This window comes from Homo sapiens, chromosome 11 (assembly GCF_000001405.40).
Source record: "Homo sapiens chromosome 11, GRCh38.p14 Primary Assembly".
Classification (NCBI taxonomy): Eukaryota; Metazoa; Chordata; class Mammalia; order Primates; family Hominidae; genus Homo; species Homo sapiens.
In genome coordinates, this window is record NC_000011.10 from 26665271 (window position 1) to 26687911 (window position 22641).

The window sequence follows — 22641 nt, forward strand, 5'->3', positions numbered from 1 at the left end:
TGGCTGAAAAACAAACCACAGTGTAATTCATCTGTTAACACTCAGAAGAAATGAAGGTTTTTTTTTCTTATCTATGTTATGATTTATGAAGCTAAATCTAATAAGCTTTGATTTTGGTGACAACTCTAACCAAAGAATAAACAGCCTATTTTCAGTGTTGAAGATGAAAATACACTTAAAAAGATATACAATTTTAAGGATATACAATTTTATCTTCCTAATATGTATGTCCATTGGCCTCTATATTGTATTTTTCAAGTAGGAAAGAGCTACTGGAATTCTATAATTGAAAAAGGAATTGGAGGATGGCCAGAAGAGACAAGAGTGGATTTCTCCAACCATTTTTATTCTCAACAGGAGAAATTATGTTGCAACCATATATTTATCCAGATGATTATAAATATTGGTTTTATTACTCCTTTTACTCACTGCAGTTATCCTGAAAATCATAAAAAAATACACTGTGTATTGCTATCATTAAATATTCCTTCCAAATTCTTAAATTCTAAAGCCAATTTAAGGAAGCTTTGCTCTGTTGAGATAGACTGAATCAATTTTTAAGAAGGTGACCTATTAACATTCTTAAAAGTGGTTAGCACAAAGGTGTATAAACCTTTATGAAGTGTATTCCAAATCAGTCAATAATGTTATCCACAGATTCAGCCTGCTTATATTATACTATACTGCAAATAAGTGATTTGAAGGTTGCTCACTTTTTTTTTATATGGCAGTTAAATTAAGACATTAAGTAAAGAATTACACGAAACTACTCTTAGCCTTTTAAATGTGTCAAAAGCAGATCCTGTAATAGGGATGAGGTGTTCTGAACATCTGTGCACACACTTGCTTTTGCAACTTAGGACACAGGTGAATCATTTCTGGAAATTCCTGAGGATAAGGTCCACAAAAGATATCACCATTATTCATTGCTTTTCTTGATTTATAGTAACCCACTTTATTAAGTTACAAACCATCTTGATGTTTATTTCTGTGTGTGTATGTGTCATAACCCATGGGTGAACTAAATATTACAGGCATTATCCAAAACATCATAAAGGAAGTCATGTTATATGATATGAAAAACCTTATTTTGGCATATGGTTAGTTGGTCACCTGGTAGACCTGCCTTAATCTATAAGGTTTTAACAAAAGATTTTAGAATAGGTGACTATCTTCCATTCCATCCCTAACCCTGTAGAAAATATTCACATTGATAATTCCAATGCACTTACATTGGAACTTAATTTAAAAAATTTTTAAATAATTATATATAAATTATATACCTATACTTGTTTATAGGCATTTTTCCTAATCTTAACTAGTTGTATAAACAACATTAGATTTAGATGTATTCTAGGATTCTGAAATTAAAAAGCTGCAAAAGATTTTGAAAATACAAAAATATCACATTAAATGTCCTATCGATGTACTGAAATATCATTATCAATGAACATCTTGCTCCACAGGGTAAGATTATTTTTCTAATTTATGATGACAGCCTGACACTTCAAGAAAGGGTCATGTTGTGATTAAGAAGTTACATACTTATGAGCTTAACTCTTTGTCTTCTGAAGATGGCTAATATTTGAAACACCAAAGTATAATATTGGAAAAATGGGCTTGTGCATGTTTGTTATTCACATGAGTATTTGCAAATCTACATTGATTTACTCAGGAGATTGGGGTGGGAGAGGAAACAATGATATTATCTGTTTCCAAGAATTACCAATAAAATCTACCCATTAGTAATTTACTATCAATGACGAGTTACATTTTATTAGTTTATAAATTTGTATCATTTTCATGTGTACCATTGATGACATCAATTAAATTTTAGTTATTTGAAAATAGGTTATACTACAAGATTATAAATGCTAGATAAAAGCAGTTAACTCTATAGTAAACCTAGCTAATTTGCAATATTGAGATTAAGTACATGAGACTTGTAAATATACAAATGTGCATGTACATACAGCTATAACTTCTGTAATAATTTAAAACAATTTATTTCAAAGGGAACAATTAAGGGGAGACTCCTCTATTTTTTCCGTATCTGATCTTTGTAATAATGTTTGATTAAGACTGTAACAGCACAAAAATATTTCAGTAATATTCTCTTTGAAATACTGTTTGAAAGCCACATGGCCAATGGTTTACTTTTTGTTTCTCTTTAGAATGAAATGGTGTAACCCTATAAAGCCACAAAATAGTAAAGTTCATTTTTAGCAAATACTATATAAACAAAGGGAAAAGACCCTCCCCACCTTCTGTTGCTATTTTGAGAGTCATAGTTGCTTTGAACTGTGCAATGAGTAATAAACTTGGGTTGAGATGCTGTTTATTTATCAAGGTTTACATGTACAAAATAATAATAAATCATAGTAATGAATTGCATCTTTTAGTAATAAACTTGTTTATAACAGTAGTTTTCTCTCTTTTCAGAATTTAGGACCTTTAGAAAAGTTACTCTCTGGAAAATAATATTTTATTTAAACTCTGGCATTAAAAAAACTACTCTTTGGAAATTTAGGCATGACTTTTAATGTATACATTCTGTTTTTCTTATTATTTCTAATTCTCAAAATAGTAACATATATTCTGATCCCACATCTTAAAAATCCTGAAGAGAAATAATGAAACCATTTAAGTTAACATGTACACCATTTTCTTCATATACTGCAGACCAAGTATTAAATGTTCCATGTGGGCCAGTCACACTGTGCTAAGCACTTTATATGATTTACTTATATAAATCTTCATAATAATTCTATTAAGTAGGGGTAATTTTTACTCCTATTAATTGGTGAATAAACTAAGATTTTAAAATATTGCCCAAAATTACCTAGATTTGTGTCAGAACTCGTGTTTGAACCTAAGCCATTTGACTGCAGTTCCTCACCTCAATCATAAGCTGTTGTAGTTCTTATTCCAAATGGTGACAAAAAATGTCTGTCATCAAAATGAATTCATACAGAATGAGTTAAAGAGGTATTGAGGTAATTCTGTTCCATTTTTACCAATATCTGTGGTTGTGCTTTAAAGGTACAGTGGTGAGTATCAAGTTTGGAACATTTTAGGCCCCTCTAAAACTCATCATTCCTAGTGCCATTTATTGAGAATGTCTCTGGTCATGCTGTGGCAAAAACAGCCACAAGTTTAACCCTCTTCCATGGTATGGATGGAACTTGTCACTGAACTGTCTTTGTACTGCACCAGTGGCCTTGGCATGACTCTGGGCTGCTAATCCTAGTGAGGGCCTGAAAGGAGTGCTGGGACTCACTAGCTGAATCTATTGACTGTGCGCTTCATAGTTTCCTTTTGCTTCACCACACAACAAACACGGTTTTCATACACTATGGAAGACAGTTTCCTGTAGATTCCCATCTGCTCTCTACCTGAAACCCTAGATTTATGCATGTTTGTTCAATTAAGAAGAATGGGGGGAGTCTCTACATTGACCTCTAAAATCTCTTGAAATGTCATCTCCTAATGCCATAAATTTCATTACACAAGAGAAGGCAGAGATATTTTTATAATAATAATTGCATTTTCCAGTTGTATGACATTTTGATAACACTCCAGGTAAGATAATTAGGGACTATAAAAGAAGAAACGTTTTTAAAACTTTCTCGGAAATGTACTGACCTAGTGAAATGTCTTTAGGAGAATTTGTGAGTAAAATTTGTGAGTAAAATGAAAAATTGTATGGTATATTTTGCTTTTATGCTATCCCAAGTGGAAGTTCACAATCCTGATGTATTCCAAATCATATTTACATATATATGTGTACAGATATATATATGTATATGCATATGTAATACCTACCATTAATTTATTCTCATCCTCAGAATTGCTGTTTTTTTATTCTTTCTGTCTCTCTCTTCCTCTTCCTGTCTTTTTCTTTCTTTCTTTCTTCTTTTCTTTCTTTCTTTCTTTCTTTCTTTCTTTCTCTCTCTCCCTCCCTCTTTCTTTCTCTCTTCTTTCCCTAAGATATTAATAAAGCTAACTAGTTTTGGCTCAGATTTCAATATTCACAAAATATATATTCTAATTAATAAGAGTGTCACAAATCATTTGGAAAATAATTGCACCTCTCAATTTGCAAATCCTTAGATCAACAGCTTAATTAGCGTTGCCAGACTTTAAAAAATGTTTCCAAAAATTCTGCTCCTTCTCATTTTCAGATATTTCTCCAAATGTGACCCCTTTTGACCCTTTCCCTCTATTCCCAAATGTATTTTTTTCTCATCTCTCTTATAAACTGTAGCCTAATACCTTCTTTCTCTTTCTCCATTCTCCTTTTCTATTTGAGTGGAGGGAGAGAAGGCAAGGATTGGGCTCTGTTTTATAAACTCCAGTTTCTCTGTTTTAATTCCTCCACTGATTTGTCTGTCTTTCTATCTTTTCTAATAATAAATACTGGTAATTTATTTTTTCTCTATTGTATGCTTCTTTCAAGGCTTTCTCTTTTGAGAAATATTTAAAGACAACCTTTGGATTTCCTTATCCTTGCCTATTTGGACCATTTCTTCTTACTTTGCTAACACACTGTTTCTAGGCCTTTTGCTTTTATCTGGCCACCAAAATAAATATCTGACACCTGTCCTAATATATGACTCTCAGATACAACTTTGTTTCTTATTATCTGTCCTCTGACTTGGCCCCTGTGACATACTGGTTCTTTCTTTTACCTTTTCAGAATTTCACTTCTTCACTTCTTCCAAAAATCTTTCACTGCTCCTTCATTTGTCAACTCGCCTTTTAATCTGCAATACCCTCATTCTCCAGAACTTTAAACATTATTTTCTAGACACGAACTATGAAGTTCTCCACTTCTGTTACCTAACCCAGGTGGAGTGAGTTGAGCTTGCTCACATGAGTTGAATGAGCAGAGTACAAGTCTTATGGACAATGTATTTTCTCCAAAGAAGAATCCTATTGCTGATGAAATCTCCTATGGTCTGTTACAATATTTGCAACGTTCTTTTACCAAATTCTATCCTAACAACCTTCTATAGGACATTCCTTTTCTCTTTCCTTAGCCCTGGAAAAAGGCTCTAGACTTCTTATTGAGCTCTGAGGCAATTTTTCATTGTAAAGTGATAGAAAGGAAGAAGACATACTGCATGGACAGCACAAAAGGAGCAAAGTTTTTAGTTATAATCACTCCCACTAGCCAGACATACCATCTTCTTCTGTATTTAGCTGAATTTTTTTTTTAATGTTTGGTCAGGACAGCTAATGACTGGAATGACTGGAAGAGGACCTGACAGTGGTGGTGAAGGGAGGTTAATAGTAGTTGTATGCCAATTGTAGCTACAGGATGGGAGATGGGTGGCATAAAATATATCTACATGTATGTCAGGTATGAGGTCAGGGGTGGATGTCATTCCTCTATTTTATCCCTCGTGGCAGGAAAGTGTTAAATATGCATATTTCTGTTTCCCGTTCTGCCTCTAAACTCCAAGATATTTTGATGGTTAAAAAACTACTAAAACGAAAAACCTGAAGTTTAATATGACACCAAGCAAAAAGACTTCGCTTTCTTGAATGGTAATGAAATCCAGCCCTAATTTATTCAAGAAGGAAGTAGTCAAGGGCATTTGGAGCAGGTTGGTTTTTCTCTGTGAAAGTTGGAGTCTTTCAAAGAATATCCCGAGAGACAGTCATTTTGCATGTAGTTATAAATAAGTAGAAATAGGCACCAGACATCCCTGTCTTCTAGCAATGGCAACTATACATATCTACTAACAAGTAGGCAAGAAGTATGTGGAGTTTGTGTGTGTGTGTGTGTATTGCACGTGTGTGTGTGCATTCATACAGGTATTGCCTTAGAAATGGGTAGTCTCAAATGCCATATTGTTGTAGCTTTTGTCCTTAGGATCATAGCCTGGAACATGTACCAGGCTTTCTCTTCTGAGTCCGTTCTGTAAGACAGATTCAGCCCCCTGTTTCCGGGCACTGCCATTCTCAAGGTTTTCCTGAGGGAAATACAAAGACACATATTAGCAAGATATCCTTGATGTACTCCAAATTAACCTGAGAGAATCTTGTTTAGGCCTTGGCTTCAAAAAATTATATATATGTACAAAAGAAGCATAAACAACTCTGACCTAAGACATTTTCTAATTGATAACTTTGATAATCCACGTAAGGTACTATTTCTAATGATAATAACAGCAAAAAGAACAATTTATTGAGCATTTACAGTATGTCTCGTGTTGCATGAAGAAATTTATATACCTCTCATTTAACCCAGCAATCCTGTGAGGTAGTAGTATTACCTTATAAGGAGAAACATACCTGTATCTCATATGGGGATGGCCCCCTTCCTACCTGGGAATAGGAGAGTCTGCTGATAAAAACAGGGACACCTATGCACAAACTCCCCTGGATGCTGCTCAACATTATTTTTTGGCAAAGGAGCCCAGTAGTGACACAAGGAGTGTCCCCTCCCTTTCAACTTATCCTTGAGAACAGAAGCTGGCTGCCTGCATTAATTAAGTTTATTATTTATTCCAGGAAATTCTATCTTCCTGAGTCTGCAAACCAACAAATAACTTGATCCGTTGCTTCTAGAACTTCCTCAAAATTCATTTATACAAACAATAGGCTGCTTAACCAGCTGCCTTCTCAGCAAAATAAATTGCTCATCTGGGTAAACAGCCCTTTTCTCAAAAGTATAGATTGTTCAATGAAGCAAACTCCTTGCTTATCAAGCCACTGTTCAATTATCAAAACTGACTTTAGGACCCTCACCTGGCTATGTTTTCCAATTTTAAATTCTCACAACACAGTTTTGCCCAGTTCCAATAAGAACCCTGAATTGAAAGATCTACCTTAAGTCACTTAAGCTCAGAATTCTATACATGTCTGCACCTAACTTCTGTATTCTGAGCCTCTCTGTAAACGTGGTGCTCTTGCCTCCTGCCAAAAGTAATAAACTCAGCTTTAGGTGATATACATGCTATTCTGCTGTTTTCTGGAGATAAGAGCAATGGACAACTCAGAAATATTTGCCATGATATGGGTTAGGCTTCCCTCTCCTAAAATCGTAAAAGAATAAAATGTCTGGGACTAAAAGTGAATATAAGTTTAAACTAAAAAGAAAAACACAACAACAACAAAAAATACTCCTGCCCTTAATCAAGCTGGGAAGACAGACACTGATAAGGTCAGCTGCTGCCAAGGTCTGGCAGTCATCAAATGCTGTAACAACCCTTTGAGTGACCATTGCACTCTTACCAATGCTGCCCCAGATAGCTTTGTGGTCATTTTCTGCTTCCCATAGACCCCTTTAAGAATCCTTCAGTGGGAACCCAAACCTTACAAAAGACATGTTCTTCCTCCCTCTTGTTGAGGGTGGCATTCCCCGATTCCTCTGAAGTACCCCACCTTGCTGCATCAAGTCAGTAAGTCCAATTTTGTCTAACTACAGGCTCTTTCTGGTGGTCTTTGGCTGATGAAACCTTAATAGAACTTGGACAGTGTCTCTAGTACTGCCTGATCTAAACACACTTCTTTTTCCCAGAATAAAGAGAGCTAGGGAGTTAGAGAGTTAGGTGCATCTTGCTGCGTCTTTGCCTGTACATTCCCACCATGACCTTGCTTTACGTTTATATCCCATAGAACTGGAAATGCTTGTGTCCATGTTGCTCTGTATAATACCCCCCTTACTCATCCAGTTTTTAGATCAGAAAAGCTGGAGTTGAGGAGTTAAATAATTTACCCAAAGAATGTAGGACATGGAACCAGGATTAATCCCAGGACTGTCTGACGCTAAAGTCCATGCTTTGAACTATTATAGGAGAATGTGTCTTCAATTTGTTCCTTTTCTATTATTCACTTTTATGTCTTCCTAGAATTCACCTTCACAGGGGTTAAAACAGTTTGAAAACTGACCACCTGCAATGCCAGTAATTCAGCTACAAGGCACTTTTACCTATCAACATATTTATGTGCTTAAAAGCTGATTAGCTGAGATAACTCTGAAGCTGAAACTCAAATTCCTTCAAGTTCTCACACTCACTGCTTTCCCTTTCCAGTGCATCTTTGCAGCCGGTTTAAATGGGCAAAACCAGGAATCCCTTTGAGTCCATACACATTTTTAGAAGCTCAAACATCAGCTCACCTGCTCTGTCCCACTGTCATGCTGAACTCCACACCAGCATAGTGTTTTGTACTTCTTAGACCAAAAGCAAAATAAATTACAAACTGGTCTAATTAACAGTGGTTGAATATCCTCACCTCTTTGGCGACCTATTAACAAAAGAACAAATAGATTAGATGGTTGCAGGCCTCCATGTCTTCCTTTACAGATTTAAACATTGTCAACTTGAAAAGTAGGTTGCTTTTTAGAATAAGAGTGAAAACAAGATTGAGTGGTTAATAAACAGAAATTGGTTAACTGCTGAAAGGGGTGGGAGTTCGTTTTTAAACATCAACAAATTGTCAGGTCAGGTAGACTCATGACTGTAGAGTTAAACAGAGACAACCTATTTATTTTTAAATATCTATTATAGAAAATGCTACTAGTAACCTTCTTTGGCCAACAGAGGGGATAGCAGTAATTATGCAATTTCTTCCTTTAAAAAAGCTCTTGACTTTTTATCCAAACCAGATATATTAATATTTGAGATCATCTAAGTCAGTATTTGTAAAATTAGAAAGAGTATTTTTATTGTTCCTTCTTTTCTTTCACCCTAACATCCTGAACAAGCAATACCCTCATGTTCCTCCCAGGTACTTTAAGCATTCCTCACACCTCCTCATGCCTCACACCCTCCTTTTCCCTTCCTTGAAACATACCTGTTCAATGTCCTATTTCTTCAAATCCTGCTGTGGAACAAGAGTCAAATTGATATTCAAACCAAGATGTAAAGGCCAATGATTTTGCTCCTCCCAGAACTTATGCAAATTTTAAGTCATAAAGACTATTCACTAATACCCAATATCATTCAAGGATAGTTATTAGTCCCATAGTCAGTGTAGTGTAAAGATCCCTAGAGGGAGGAGTGGAGTAGTGGTTACACTGTTGATCAAATTTCTTTTAAGTGCCAGATACTGTGACCATCCACAAACTTTTTCTCAAACTGCTTTCTAGAGACAAAAAAAATAAAAAAATGTAGATTTGTTTGTTTTTTGTATGAGACAGAGTCTCATGCTATTGCCCAGGCTGGAATGCAGTGGCATGATCTCGGCTCAATGCAACCTCCGTCTCCCGGGTTCAAGTGATTCTCCTGCCTCAGCCTCTGGAGTAGCTGGGACTACAGGCACGAACTACCATGCCCGGCTAATTTTTTGCATTCTTTTTGTAGAGATGGGATTTCACCATGTTGGCCAAGCTGGTCTCAAACTCCTGACCTCAGGTGATCTGCCCACCTCAGCCTCCCAAAGTGCTGTGATTATAGATGTTAGCCACTATGCCTGGCCCAAAATGTGGATTTTTAAAAATCTAAATTGAGGCTTAAGCAATCTATTCCCTGGCATTTACATCACTATGTCAAAAGACATTTGGCCACATAGAATTCTACTACTGTTGATAATAATATTTATCAATTAGTCAGTGTATTCTACATACTGAACACATTTTACATAGATTATCACTAATCCCTATAAATAGGTAAGTATTGTTATTCTCATTTCATGGATGAGGAAATGGTGAACTTTTCTAGAAGCTAATAAATGATGAAGTATACATTTAGTTAAACATATGTGATCTCACACTCTGTAACGCTCCATTTGCCTTAATGTGTGCGTATGTGTGAGTGGCTGAGGAGGAGTTGCAAAACCTCAAACTTCTATCCAAGGGCATCTCTGAATCAGAATAATTTAATTTGGGACAAAGCCATTTCCAGGGTTTCAAACAGAGAAGAGTTTTGTCTCTGAATGAACCACAAAATCATCAAACACTCCAACAAATGATGTAGATCTATTGTCTCTTAAGAGCAGGTCCTGAGATTTGCTAAGAAGGACAGGACTCTGCTTCATATGGATTTAGATTCTGTTTTCTTCTAGAAAAAGACAGTATTCCCTTTGGGAGATAGCAGATGGTAAAGCAAAGTATAGGGCTATAATTCTCACAGGTAGGAAAGTTAAAAATGAAAATGAAACTCAAATTCTCAAACCAGAAGCTCTGTGTTTGCCTTCAATCGTGGATTTATCATCTCTTTCATGAGCAAGACCTTGGGGATTGAGCATCAGTGGACTGCTGAGAAAATTGGTTGAAACCAAGTTCGTCAAGAGACTACAGGACTGTAGACATACTAGGTGAGAAAAGAGAAGGTCAAAGGGGATGAGATCATATCCTGTAGACAAGTAGGTTTATCCTAAGGAAAAGAAAGTTCATGCTTATAGAGGAAATGTCTCTAGATGTATAGTAACCTGGGGTGGTTTTGAGGAAAGTTCCCCTTCCTCTGAGCAGAACCAACTCTATGCCAAGGTACTGACTCCATGAGCAGAATGCAACCTAGAATCCATTCCCCACATGGTCCCTCTACTGGGCACAAGCCCCAAAACTCTCAGCAGAAGTCCTGAGTATAAGACATAGGCTTAAGTTGGAAGTTAGGAAAGTCAGATTAGGAGTGGAAAGGGCATAAAATTTCAGAAACCTAGGAATAAAGAGATGGTCTATAAACTTGCAACAGAAAGAATGGCATGAGTGTGTGTGTATCTATCTGTGTGTGTGTGTGCATGTATCTGTGTGTGTGTGTATGTACCTCTGTCTGTGTGTGTGTGACAAAGAGGAGAGAGAGACTGAAATAAGGTAGATTACACACAAGAATCAGAAATTAGAATGGTATCAGATTTCACCACAGCAAACTGAAAGCTAGAATATTTTTGATCTGTCTCTCATCGTTATACAGAGCTGCACAATTCCTGACAATTTATAAACTAGTCCAGTAAATTTCTCTGATGAGATTAATTATCTAATACAAAGATTACTTTTTTATGTTAAGAGATAGATTGTAAATATTTTAGGCATTGCTAACCAGAGGATCTTTGTTGCCACTACTCAACTCTGCCTTTGTAGAGTGAAATCAACCATAGTTAAAAGCAAATAAATGGGCAAGCTCTGTTTCTAGAAAACAAAAAAAAAAAAAAAAAAAGAAAACAGGTAGTAGGCCAGATTTAACCTTAGTACGGAAACATAATCTAAAATATAAAATAATAGATTGATAACTAAAGATTTTATATCTGAGACATGCAGCTTTATGGTAAATGAGAAAAATATAGTAAGATTCAGATAAATATAAACTACTGTACACTGAAAAACAGAGTAGCATCAATCTCTATATACTGTCCTGATAATGGGATGTTTTGGCCACTTGATACACCAACAATGGTATTTGTTCTTGATTTAGGAAATGATATTTTCATTTCACATATCTAAAATGGAAAAATTAAAAAATAACTTTCAGCCATCCAGCAGAATTTTATCAGTAATAATTAAGAATTTAAAGTGTATCTTAGGCCAAGATCTTTCAGCAGCTGATGCACAAAATGATTAATGATATAAACTTCCTGGAGTTGCTAATCAACACAGACATGATTCTATGTGTCAACATGTATGAGTAACATAAACAGCATATCTTCGAGGTGCCGTATTTTATCTGGAAGAAGTATAATTGAAGACATCACCTATTAAGACCAAACAAGACCAAGATAAAATATGACACAAGGAGAACAGGCCCACAAAAGGCCTCTGTCCTTCCTTACTGACCCTATTCTACATTTAAACATTGTAAGACTTTTTAAAAGATTCAGTGGGTATTACAGAAGATTTGTTAAAGCCTCTTAGTGAGCAGACCTGAGGTTATCAGGCTAGCCCTAAGGCCTCATTTGGAAGACAGGGACCAGGAGGCAAGAACATCTGGTGGTCATGTTCAAAAATTTTTCCAAATGTTTGAAGGCATAATTAGACTTTGTTAGAGTGTTCGCTTTTGGCCTGAAGGGCATTTGACTAAGACCTGGCTTATTTGGAGAAAAAGAAAACAAAGGGATTAATACTGGAAGAGTTATTCATGCTGAAAATGTGTAAGAATTTTCAATCAAATTTAATATAAGTGCTGCTGTATCAACATAAGAGCATGCTAATTCTGGTGCACACATGGAAAATATGGACTGGCAAACTACTGGATTTCATGTGTACACATTTCCTGATTTAGAAGGAAATGTTCAGGCAGCTGAAATCTTGGTTGTCTTCTTAGTGGTGACCGATCACTAAACTGAAATGTCTAGGTATATCCCACTAGCATCAAGGAAGGAGTTACAGATGTCAGGGTACTAAGGCAAAATCTAAACAAAATGAATAAACAATCTTTTGCCTGAAACCATTTACATAAAGACATTGAGAGAGTTGTTATTATGTGAAAGACTGGGGTTACAAGATTTATAGTCTATTCTTTATCATAGCCAAGATCTTCTTAAATTTCAGTGAATGGCTAGTGACATCATGCACAGAACAATAGGGCATTGGAGCTTCAATATAACATCTCTAGTACACAGTCACCAGAAATGTTGCCATTCAGGTTTTGTGTTGAGTCAGAATGTTGGCCATTGTTCATTGGTATATAATAGTCATGGAAAAATAGAATACCTTAAAATTTTTTAGCTAAAATACATACTCCAAGGAGGTGGAGGGACAAGAGTACAGTGAACTTATTCCACCCCATTATCTCCCACACTCTCACCACTACCAACCCCTCATGGGCTTTGAAACAAAAAGGACATTAATACATCAAAAGGGCAAGTATGGATGGTAGACACTTTGCTAAAAATGGCTTACAGTGAAGCTGCTCACTGCAGAGAACTCCACGACCCTAGAGAAGCAGCCTCCAAAGGACAACATAGGCAAAAACAACAGTGTTTTGCTTTTCTAGTAAGTTAGCAAAGGCTGACTTCATGAGATAGTAAGATGGTGATGACAAAAATCTTGTCTCTTACTGGGATGAAGGGAAAAGAACCACTCTGAATATTTAACCTTATTTACTGATTGTTATATTACAGAGGGTTTTTCATACTCAGGCCTCTGGGGGGCATGTGTCAAAGCATCTTTTTTTAAATAATATATGGGAAATGTTTGAATATATGTTTTTTTGTTTGGTTGGGGTTTTTTTTGGTTTTTTGAGACGGAGCCTTGCTCTGTTGCCCAAGCTGGAGTGCAATGGCACCATCTCAGCTCACTGCAACCTCCACCTTCTGGGTTCAAGCGATTCTCCTGCCTCAGCCTCCCGTGAATATATGTTTTATATATTAATAGTCAGGTATATAATAATGAAGGGTGCCTTTGTATGTCAGCGTTGAGAGAGTAGACATCTCTGTGGGAAGAAGGGTTTTTGTGGGAAACGTGAATTCAAAGCAATAAGACAGACAGCCAGTCCACCAATGCATGCATGAGCCCATATCTTCTTTAGTCCCAAAGGGAGGAATTATAACCAACCTGTTATGAGGCTGATGATTACTCCAGCAACAATGCATCCTAAGCAGCCCACTGCACTGTAGTAAAGGTAGGAGATCGAGTACCAGGTATCAGCTATTCCAGGTCTGTGGAGAACAGCACATGTCACCAATTCCATGCATCCTAAAGACCCACAGTGATGTAGAGGACTGCTCAGGATTCATTTTAGGGCCTGGCATCTCAAAAGCCTAAATCATAACTTTTTGTCATTTAAAAAATTATATTTAGAGAAGATGTGCTTTGTATTCCACTCAATTCAATTCATTCCTGAATTACAAATATAACGATGTTGATACTGAATCATAAGTATTACAATGAGGATTGTGTCTTAATACAAATAATACAATTTCATTTGTATTATTTATTCTTCAGACTTTTATTAAGCCCAGATTTAGTGCTAGTAATTGTGACAAGCATTAGTGATATAAAGATGAGAAAGTCACAAAGTCTACATACAGGAGCTAATAGACAATCATAAAATGGGTTGGTTTTGCCTCAGTAGAAAAGGTATAAAATACTATGGCAGCCTTCAGAGTAGTATCAAATTCAGACCAATGCGTGAGATGATACCTCAGCTCATTTTGAAAGAATAATTAGTAGTTAATCAAGCAAAGAGGGTAGTCAGGGCCAGGAATTAGCATTCTAAGAAGAGAATACAGTAAGTATAGGCAGGAGGGAAGAATCAACATGGTTTATGGGGAACCATGAATAGGTTGAAATTCTTCGATATAAAATTTATGGAAAGAAAATGAAACTCAAAGACAAATGGAAGCAAAATAATGGAGTGCCCATTTGGAACCTGAGTCAAAATGAACTTTATGGAGGAATAGGAGACACTAGTATGGCTCTTGAAAGATAAACAGATTTTAGGAGAGTGGAAATGAACACTAAAATATATTCATGTAAAGGGAATAGCTTAAGGACCCAAATGTAGGAAAGAGTGGGATAAGCATAGGTAGACGAGAAGAAACAGAATTCAGAGTAGAAGGAAAACAATAGTTAATAACATTAAAACCACAGGAAAGTTTTAAGTTTGGCAGGTATTTAGCTCCAGGATAAAAAGGTTGTGTTTTATTCCATAAGCACATGAATCATTTAAGTCATCTCCATGTGGTAGTAATGAGTTCAGAAAGGTGCTTCAGAAAAAATAAATCTAGTGATGCTTGGATAGAATGGGTTGTATTAGAAAGGAAAAGAGATAGAAAAATGGAGGAAATAAAAAATACAAATAAGATAATTTCACTTTTCTGGACTTTGTAAAGACAAGACTAGCCTCAAGATTGACAAGGACAATGGAGAGGAGAAGATATGCCGGACCGAGAGAGACTTTCATGAATGCAATTTGCCACATTATCTGGCCAGTTTGAGAAGCCTGGACTCAGAGGGAATGAGCCAGTATGGGGAGATATTGATGATAATCAGAAAAGGGCTACTAAAAATGAAGTACTTTTGAGGATACACAAATAACACAAATCCTATATTTTCTAGACTTGCTCTTACATACAATTAGAATGTGAGAGTGAACATTTATTAAAGTCACGTGTAGTGCTACTTTATATATATGTATATATATTCATATATATATATGTATATATATTCATATATATATGTATATATATTCATATATATATGTATATATATTCATATATATATGTATATATATTCATATATATATATATATTTCCTCATTTTTCCATCAAGGGCTCTGAGAATTCAAGAAGTTACAACTTACTAACTTGTCCAAAGATACAGAGGGAATAAATTATAAAACCAAAATCCAAACCCAAATATTTCAGATTTCAAAGTCCACAATCGTCTCTCTACACCATAGTATCTGATGTATTTTGATATATTTGATCACTTACCCCAGCCAGAAGTACAAAGGGAAATCCTTTGTTAAACCCTGTGTTCATATTGTTTGGTTTAGAAGCCATAGGTTCACAGCGGTGCTCCTAACTCAGCTTGCCCATAAGCATTATCCTCATTGCTCACAAACTTCTTCTACTGAGTTTTATTCTTTGAGGAAACCATGTTCCTCATACCCAGTCACCTGTCTTTGAACCCTCCACTATTTTTTCTCTTTTGTACTCATATCTCGCATTAACTCTTTCACCAAATTGGTTTTTGTATGTCTGAATACAGAGGAATGGACATCTGCAGAAAGCTGCAGCCCTGCGTGGCACTCTTCAGTGCTGGGTACTTCCCTGAGTGAGTCTCATAAGAGAACAAGATATGTCTCATCACACTTATCTCTGAAGAGTGCACCTCCCTCTTACCAGGTGACCCACTCTCTGGGACTTAGCACCATCTATAAAGTCAGCATACCTGCTGGATAGTACTGGAGGCCCTGTTGCTGTCACATTTGATTTGATACATTGGTCTGTTGACAGAGGCAAAGGCCATGTCTTAGAGGCTGGTGCAGGGTAAATGAAGGCCCCAATGGCCACCCAAAATGACAAGGTGATTCCAGTAAGAAGACCTCCTAGTGCACCCTGGATGAAGAAGAAAAAGGTTAATGGGAAATTTGGCAAAGCTGTCTATGGAAAGAATAATGAGATGAGGAGTTCTATGCCTTAGAGATTCTGGCTTTCCATCCCAAATCTTGGCCACATATTTCAGAAACACTCTGCTCAAACTGCCTTCACCTCAACTCCCATAATGCAGGTTTATTAAGGAGTGACTTGTTCTTTAAATGAAGACATCAGATAATTTCATGGTGATCATTATATTTAGATTTCTAGCAATAATTATTTTTCTCCTTAGGGTTTCTTTCTCTTACTACTTAAAAAGCTGCTGAAACCTCAATTCTCATTAGAAGACTTTCAGAAGTTAAGGAAAACTTCAAATACTAGGTCATTTTTAGTTATTGACAGCTTTTATACAGAAATTATTACTCCTATCTCTCTTCCTAAGTAACCAGCAGAGTCCCCTGACTCCCTAGTTCTGAGTTTTTTTGTTTGAGTATGAATACTAGCAAGTGCATTTAATGGTCTTGTCATTTAAGGTTTATATTTCTTGATAAATAGTGAAAAGTCAAAGAATCACTTTTCTTGTAGAGGAGGCAGAACAATCTAGCAGAGATTAGGACCACTAGAGAATATAATCTGATGTTTCTGGTCACTGCTAGGAAACTGAGCCTTCTGAGTCAGAGAAAAGAAACCTGTTGGCTTCTCTAGTTAATCAGAAAAAAATAGAAGAGGCCTTGGTAAGAGTTCCAGAATACTTTCTCCATTATTGTTTGAAGAAATTTAATCAGTGTGTGTGATTTGAATACTTGTGCCTTGGTCTAAACAAGTGATCTGAAAATTTCTAATATAACAGTCAGACAATAAATATTTTAGGCTTTGTAAGCCATGCAGTATCTGTCACAACAACTCAGTTCTCTTATGGCATGTAAGCAACTATAGACAATACCCAAGCAGAAGAGCCTGGCTGTGTTTTTAGTAAAATTTTATTTATGGGCACTGAAATTGGAATTTTATGTAATATTTTTGTGCCAGAAAATATTATTCTTCTTTTGACTTTTTTCCCAACCATTTAAAAAATGTCAAAACCATTTCTAGCTTGAAGCCATACCAAACACAGGGGGCCAGCTAGATTTGGCTTGAGGCATATCGTTTGCTGACCCCTGGCCTACCAGTAAGTGGAAAATGGATTTCAACTGGAGGGTTAACCCTGGTTGATCTATAATGGCTAGCTGGAGAGCCATGTTGAGACAGATTCTGAAGGTGTAGCCACATTCTATGGGAAGGAGAGCCATGATTGGTTAGTAGGATCAGCTATGGCCATTGATGAGGGGAGAGGTGACACAAATTTATAATATTTACTATACTTTATTAAATATCTAGGCAAAGGCCATGTCTTAGAGGCTGGTGCAGGGTAAATGAGGGCCCCAATGGCTGCCCAAAATGACAAGGTGATTTCATTAAGAGAAATCAAGGTGGTTTTCCTGACCAAATAGAAAAAACTACAATGTACTAACATAGATAATAAATCAATGTTAACAGTGCACTAAAATCTTATGTAGTTAGCTCATATTTTTTGTGGCTAGGATATTGTCTTCCCTCACATTATCTCCCCAAAGACATAATATTCTTGTCAACCCCAATATCAGACAAGTGATTAAGACTGCTTGGGAAGTGCTGCAAAGACCCGAATGCTCGCTACCCATCAATCTCCTTTACTTAGCCCCACAGGATTTATCTAAGAGAAAGGTCAATAAGGGTCAGGTAGCCACAGAGACCTAATCAAGTATACTATCTGACACAGACTTTATGGAATATCCTATAGTATATACATTAATAAGTGTAAAGTCAAGCTTTCTGGAATCAAAAGACTTTCTCAAAATACATGCATGTAAGTGTGCACATGGCAATAATTGAAAGATGGCAATTTTGTTAGACTGAGAAAATCCTGCTATTATAAATGTTTTAAAAATATTGTTATGTTATTTTTCCAAATAATTATTCATCTTGATTTAAACTCAATACATAGTTATCCAACCAACATTTACTTGAAGACATACTATTAGCTTGTCAGAGCAGCAAAATGAAGATCCAGCTGTCAGAACCCAAGTTTGTCCCTTCTCCCCTACATAAATTAGTTAATTAATTTAATAAAGTTAGTTATAAATCTAGGTAACTATACACAGAAAACAATGAGATTTACATTTGTAAATACGAATTTTCAAAATTGTGTTTCAACAAAACTATTCTTGAATTCAATATCTATTTTACAGTTAATGTTGTGGGCCTTTAATTTAGAGAAGACTTAATTTAACCTTAAAGAGTCAGCTTTGATGTCAGGATATGTGGCAGTTCATAACTACCTCTGCTCTTCTTTCATTTCTGTACCCAGAAAGATGTCACTGAAGTCAGAGACAGGTAGACTCAAGCTCTGTTTAATTCTGCTGTGGATTCTTTTCCTGGCTAAGACAGATAGCTTTTCTAAACAGGGCTGAGAGGAGAGAGAAAACGGCTGGGCCCAGTTTTGACTGGGAATTGTGAAGAGGGCTGTGGGATCCTTACCTTCCAATTCACAAAAGGGAACACGATTCCCAGGGAGAATAAGCCCAGCATTGGTCCTCCACACATGCCGTGAATGCTGAGGGAAGCCTGTGGAACAAAGGCAGACCAGATGAATCCCCTACTCAAGGGCATCTGTGACTTCCTGGCATCATACCTCTCTTGGACCTGGGATAATATTGGGTCCTAGTCCTGACTGTGCCATTTGTTAATTATGTGCTTTCTATAAGTCATTTCTCAATTCTGGGATGAATGATAAGCACTGTATTTATGTATGTGTGTGTGTGTGTGTGTGTGTGTTTGTATAGTAGAAAGGCAGGTAACCTGAATTTAGTTTGAAGTTCAAGTTGAAACTCATTGAACTTCAGAGTCTTCTTTCTCTATAAAAAATATAAGGTCATAGAACCAAGGGGACTTCAAATCACCTCTAGCTGTAATGCAAGTTCTTTTTTCCAGAAAGATGGGTTACAATGCATGATTGTTTTTTCCAGATTAATTTCAAAGAAGTCAATGCCTCAGATATATTCTTGACAAAATGGAGGCAGATGAGGGTAAAGCCTTCCTTCTTACCCAGCATCAATACTTAAGTTAATATTCTTGGCATTTCCTCTGCTGACGATAGCATTAATTCACAGTTTCTAGGGTTGCTGAATTTGAAAGCTAATTTACTAGTGATTACATAGGAGAGTCAATAAGTTAGTAAAGGTAATTTTATCTTCCCTGTGGGAAAAATATTTGACAATCTCTTACAAAAGTCACTAGCCATCATGCCTCTCCTAGGAAAGGAGAGGTCAGGGTTTTCATTTCTTGCCTATCAACATCTCTTAAACTGCGTGGCACACATCTTAATCAATCAAGAAGGTGGGCCCAGGATACTCATCTGAACTAAGGCAGGCAGATGAGGGCATCACTCACGACTTCCTCCTCACTACAAGAATTGTTTTCCACCAGTCTTTGGAGGAGTCCTTGCCTATCTGGAGCCCCTCATACTTCAATTGCAGAGGAGCTCACAATGGAAATATCTCTGGAAGAAAACAATTTAGTGACTCAAATCACCAGTTGGACATGATGATACTTTCTTAAGAGTAAATATTATTGTGGCGCACAAGACATCAGAAGCAACTTGGAAATATAGGTTCCATGAATAGGAAAATAAACCTAAAATAAGTGCCTGAGATCACTAAAGACAAACCTCACCACCTTGCCACTTCTGCTGTGTAGATGGGTATATATCAGAGTGCTTCAAACATTATGAAGGGATTACAAAGCATCTGTGATGAAACAGTAGTTAATGGCCTATTAGAAAGGACATCATGTCCCACAAGTTCTTTTATGTAGACAGGTGAATTATTCCATCACTTAGCTCTCCTAGATTAGTTCCCTGAATCTTAAAATGGAAGTAATGGAACATATCTAAGTAGTCATTGGAAGGATCAAGTAAGTTACACTGTTCTGGGAACTGGAAGGCCTTCTATAAACATTAATGATTACTATTCACTTACTGTGACTCATATCTTCATTTGAAAAACATTTATTGAAAACTTATGCCATGATAAGAAACTCTAAATAATGTTCAGATTACAAAAGGCCAGGCGTAGTGGCTCACATCTGTAATCCCAGCACTCGGAGGCCGAGGCTGGTGGATCTCTTGAGGTCAGAAGTTCAAGACCAGTCTGGCAAATATGGCGAAACTCCATCTCTACTAAAACTACAAAAATTAACTGGGCACCTGTAATCCCAGCTACTTGGGAGGCTGAGGCAGGAGAATTGCTTGAACCTGGGAGGCAGAGGTTGCAGTGAACCAAAATCACACTACTGTAATCCAGCCTGGGTGACAGAGTGAGACTCTGTCTCAAAAAAACAAACAAACAAAAAAACAAAAAAACCCACAAAGACACAACGGGACTGAGAGAATCGGAGTAGAATCTGAATATGTGCTTATCTGATGCTGCTTTGTGAGTTGGGCAACATGAAGAATGGGGATGGGTGGCTCAGGAGACTTGAGTCATAAACCTAGTTTTTCCACTAACTGTGAGAACTTGAACAGGGTATTTTCACTTTTTTTCCCGTAATCACCTGCAAAATGAAGATGTTGAAACAGATTATCCATAAGGTTCCTTTTAGCACTGATATTTTATGGAATTGGGAGTTGTGAGTTCGGCTTGGATGATAGGTGGAGGTGAGCAGATATCCCAGTTCTACCACTCTTTAATTATGTAACTTTGAGACAGTTACTTCCTAGTTCCTTCATCTGGAAAATTAGTGCATTAATTATACTACCTTTAAGAGAAGTGATGAAGATTAAATGAAATAATACATCTAGGACTCTGCCCAGAACATAGTAAGTGTTACATAAATGTTAATTATTATTGGTTTTACTATTTTTATCACTACTTTCATATCAGGATAATAAATTCTCAGATCAGAATTTTTAAGAGTTTCTAATTTTATCTCACTATCCCATTACTAGTTTTAATCGTTTCTCCTTCTGAAAGTGATTTAATAGTTTCCCCTTCGGAAAGTGATTTCTCTTTCTGAAAAGATAAGTTCTTTTTTTGTGCTGACTAGAGAATTGATTTTACATGCATTTTACATTTATTTTTAATTTGGAGCTGGTATCATTAAATGTCAGCCTTTGGATCTTGGAGGAAGAAGCAAGACATTAAAAGAGAGTGGGGGGAAGTTCCAGTGAAACCAAATGTGTCTTTTCCTTCTTTCGTTACCTGCACAACACCTCCCATGACAGATGCAGCCACAGCCATAGAGGTACACATCACGCCAAATAAGAGACCTGAAAGAAAGAAAAATTACAATCATAATTTCCTGAGGGATTCCTGACTTCAAGGGATGCCTTGAGCCCCCACTCAGAACTGTCTCTGATCCAAGCCCTTTGCAAAGGGATCTCAGCGAGGACCATCCTCCCCATTCAGCCATCATCAGCCCCAAGAGAGGCACTTAGGAAGTCTCTTTACCAAGGAAAAGTTTCAATGACCTGCTTCCTCATCAGGCGGAATGAACTGCTATCCAGCCTCAAGGGTTATCCTTCTAAGCTTCTGGAAGAAATCTGTTATGTGGAAACAACATGAAAATGTGGGAGAGGTCCAGACTAATCTAGACAAAATTAGTGGAAATTAATTCCTGGGCAACCACCCTCCAGCAAGGAGCTGAAAAAGAAGCTACTAATTCCAGGACTCCAGTAGTTTTTCATCTTAACAATGGTTAAATAATGTCTACACATTCTACCTAACAGGTTTCGCAAATCTGGAAAGTTTTTCAGATTTTTCCCTTTGGCGCTTTTTTTTATATTATCCTTATGGTCCTTAGTTACATTACATAATGATTTGTTTGTTTCCATATCACCAAAAGGACCTTCAGAGTATGGTGCTCTTCTGGTATCATGAAAGCTCGCTAAATGAATCAGCATATGTATTTTGTCATCTTTTAAAAATAATATCTTCTTCTAAACCATCTTTTAAAAAGTCATTGTTTTTATACATCTTTGTTTAAAAATAATCTCAAAAGTACACTGAATTCCAATAATAACACATAAACAAAACAATAGAGAGAAAGATAGGCAAAAAGTAGCAGATTGACAGAGATGGAGACACAGTGTCAGAAATGGAAAGAAAACTATTGTGTTGATTCTTTTTGAGCATTCTCTGTCAGCTACATATCCAACCCAGTTCCCAACATGACTATTAATTCAATCTTATTGAATACCAACCATAGATGAGACACTGCACCAGATGCCAGTGCCATAAAGTTAGAATGTGATTCCTGTCTCTAACAGCTTTCATTCTAGGAAGAAACTGCTTGCAAATTAATCCAACAAGTATATGCACATACCCAAGAACAGTGCCTGGCACGCAGCAAGTACTATGTATTTATCATTTTTATTATTTTATTTCAGAGTCATTACATGATATTCCTTATGAGGAACCCACTCTTAAAATGAAATCAGGCTAGTCATCTTTGAGGCTATCTTTTCCAACTTCTCAATAAGACACACAAAAATAAGGAAACTTCAAGATTGATCACTAAGCACTTGCCAAAATTCCAAAAGTATTCCAACTATCTATTATAGATAGGCTACTATTAGATAGATTGACTACTATTAGACTATTAGATAGATAGATAAGACTACAGAAAACAATGTCT

General features: G+C 36.5%; 1 protein-coding gene across 7 annotated transcripts in view, besides 1 other annotated feature; it reads right to left on the reverse strand.

Annotated features, from left to right (window-relative positions):
• The window catches only part of SLC5A12 (solute carrier family 5 member 12), a 56370-nt gene continuing 35478 nt past the window's right edge, over positions 1750-22641 (reverse strand). For 4 of the 7 annotated variants that reach the window (XM_011519920.3, XM_006718155.4, XM_017017244.2 and 1 more), the window contains 6 exons: positions 21207-21274; positions 18487-18573; positions 15785-15951; positions 13442-13545; positions 8132-8259; positions 1750-5981 (listed from right to left, as the gene is read on the reverse strand). In XM_011519920.3, the coding sequence (XP_011518222.1) occupies positions 5832-5981; positions 8132-8259; positions 13442-13545; positions 15785-15951; positions 18487-18573; positions 21207-21274 (704 nt within the window). In that variant the 3' untranslated portion in view covers positions 1750-5831. Of the gene's footprint in view, positions 5982-8131; positions 8260-13441; positions 13546-15784; positions 15952-18486; positions 18574-18759; positions 19508-21206; positions 21275-22641 lie in introns of those variants that run through there. The other 3 variants (XM_006718156.4, XM_011519921.3, XM_047426454.1) reach the window with 2 other exon arrangements.
• Positions 20844-22043: an enhancer, noted in NCBI's record as "BRD4-independent group 4 enhancer chr11:26707661-26708860 (GRCh37/hg19 assembly coordinates)". NCBI's record gives its function as "activates an origin of replication core promoter dependent on BRD2, P300/CBP, MED14 and CDK7 cofactors, and independent of BRD4, by STARR-seq in HCT116 cells {active_cell/tissue: HCT116}" and the evidence as "EXISTENCE:reporter gene assay evidence [ECO:0000049][PMID:35650434]".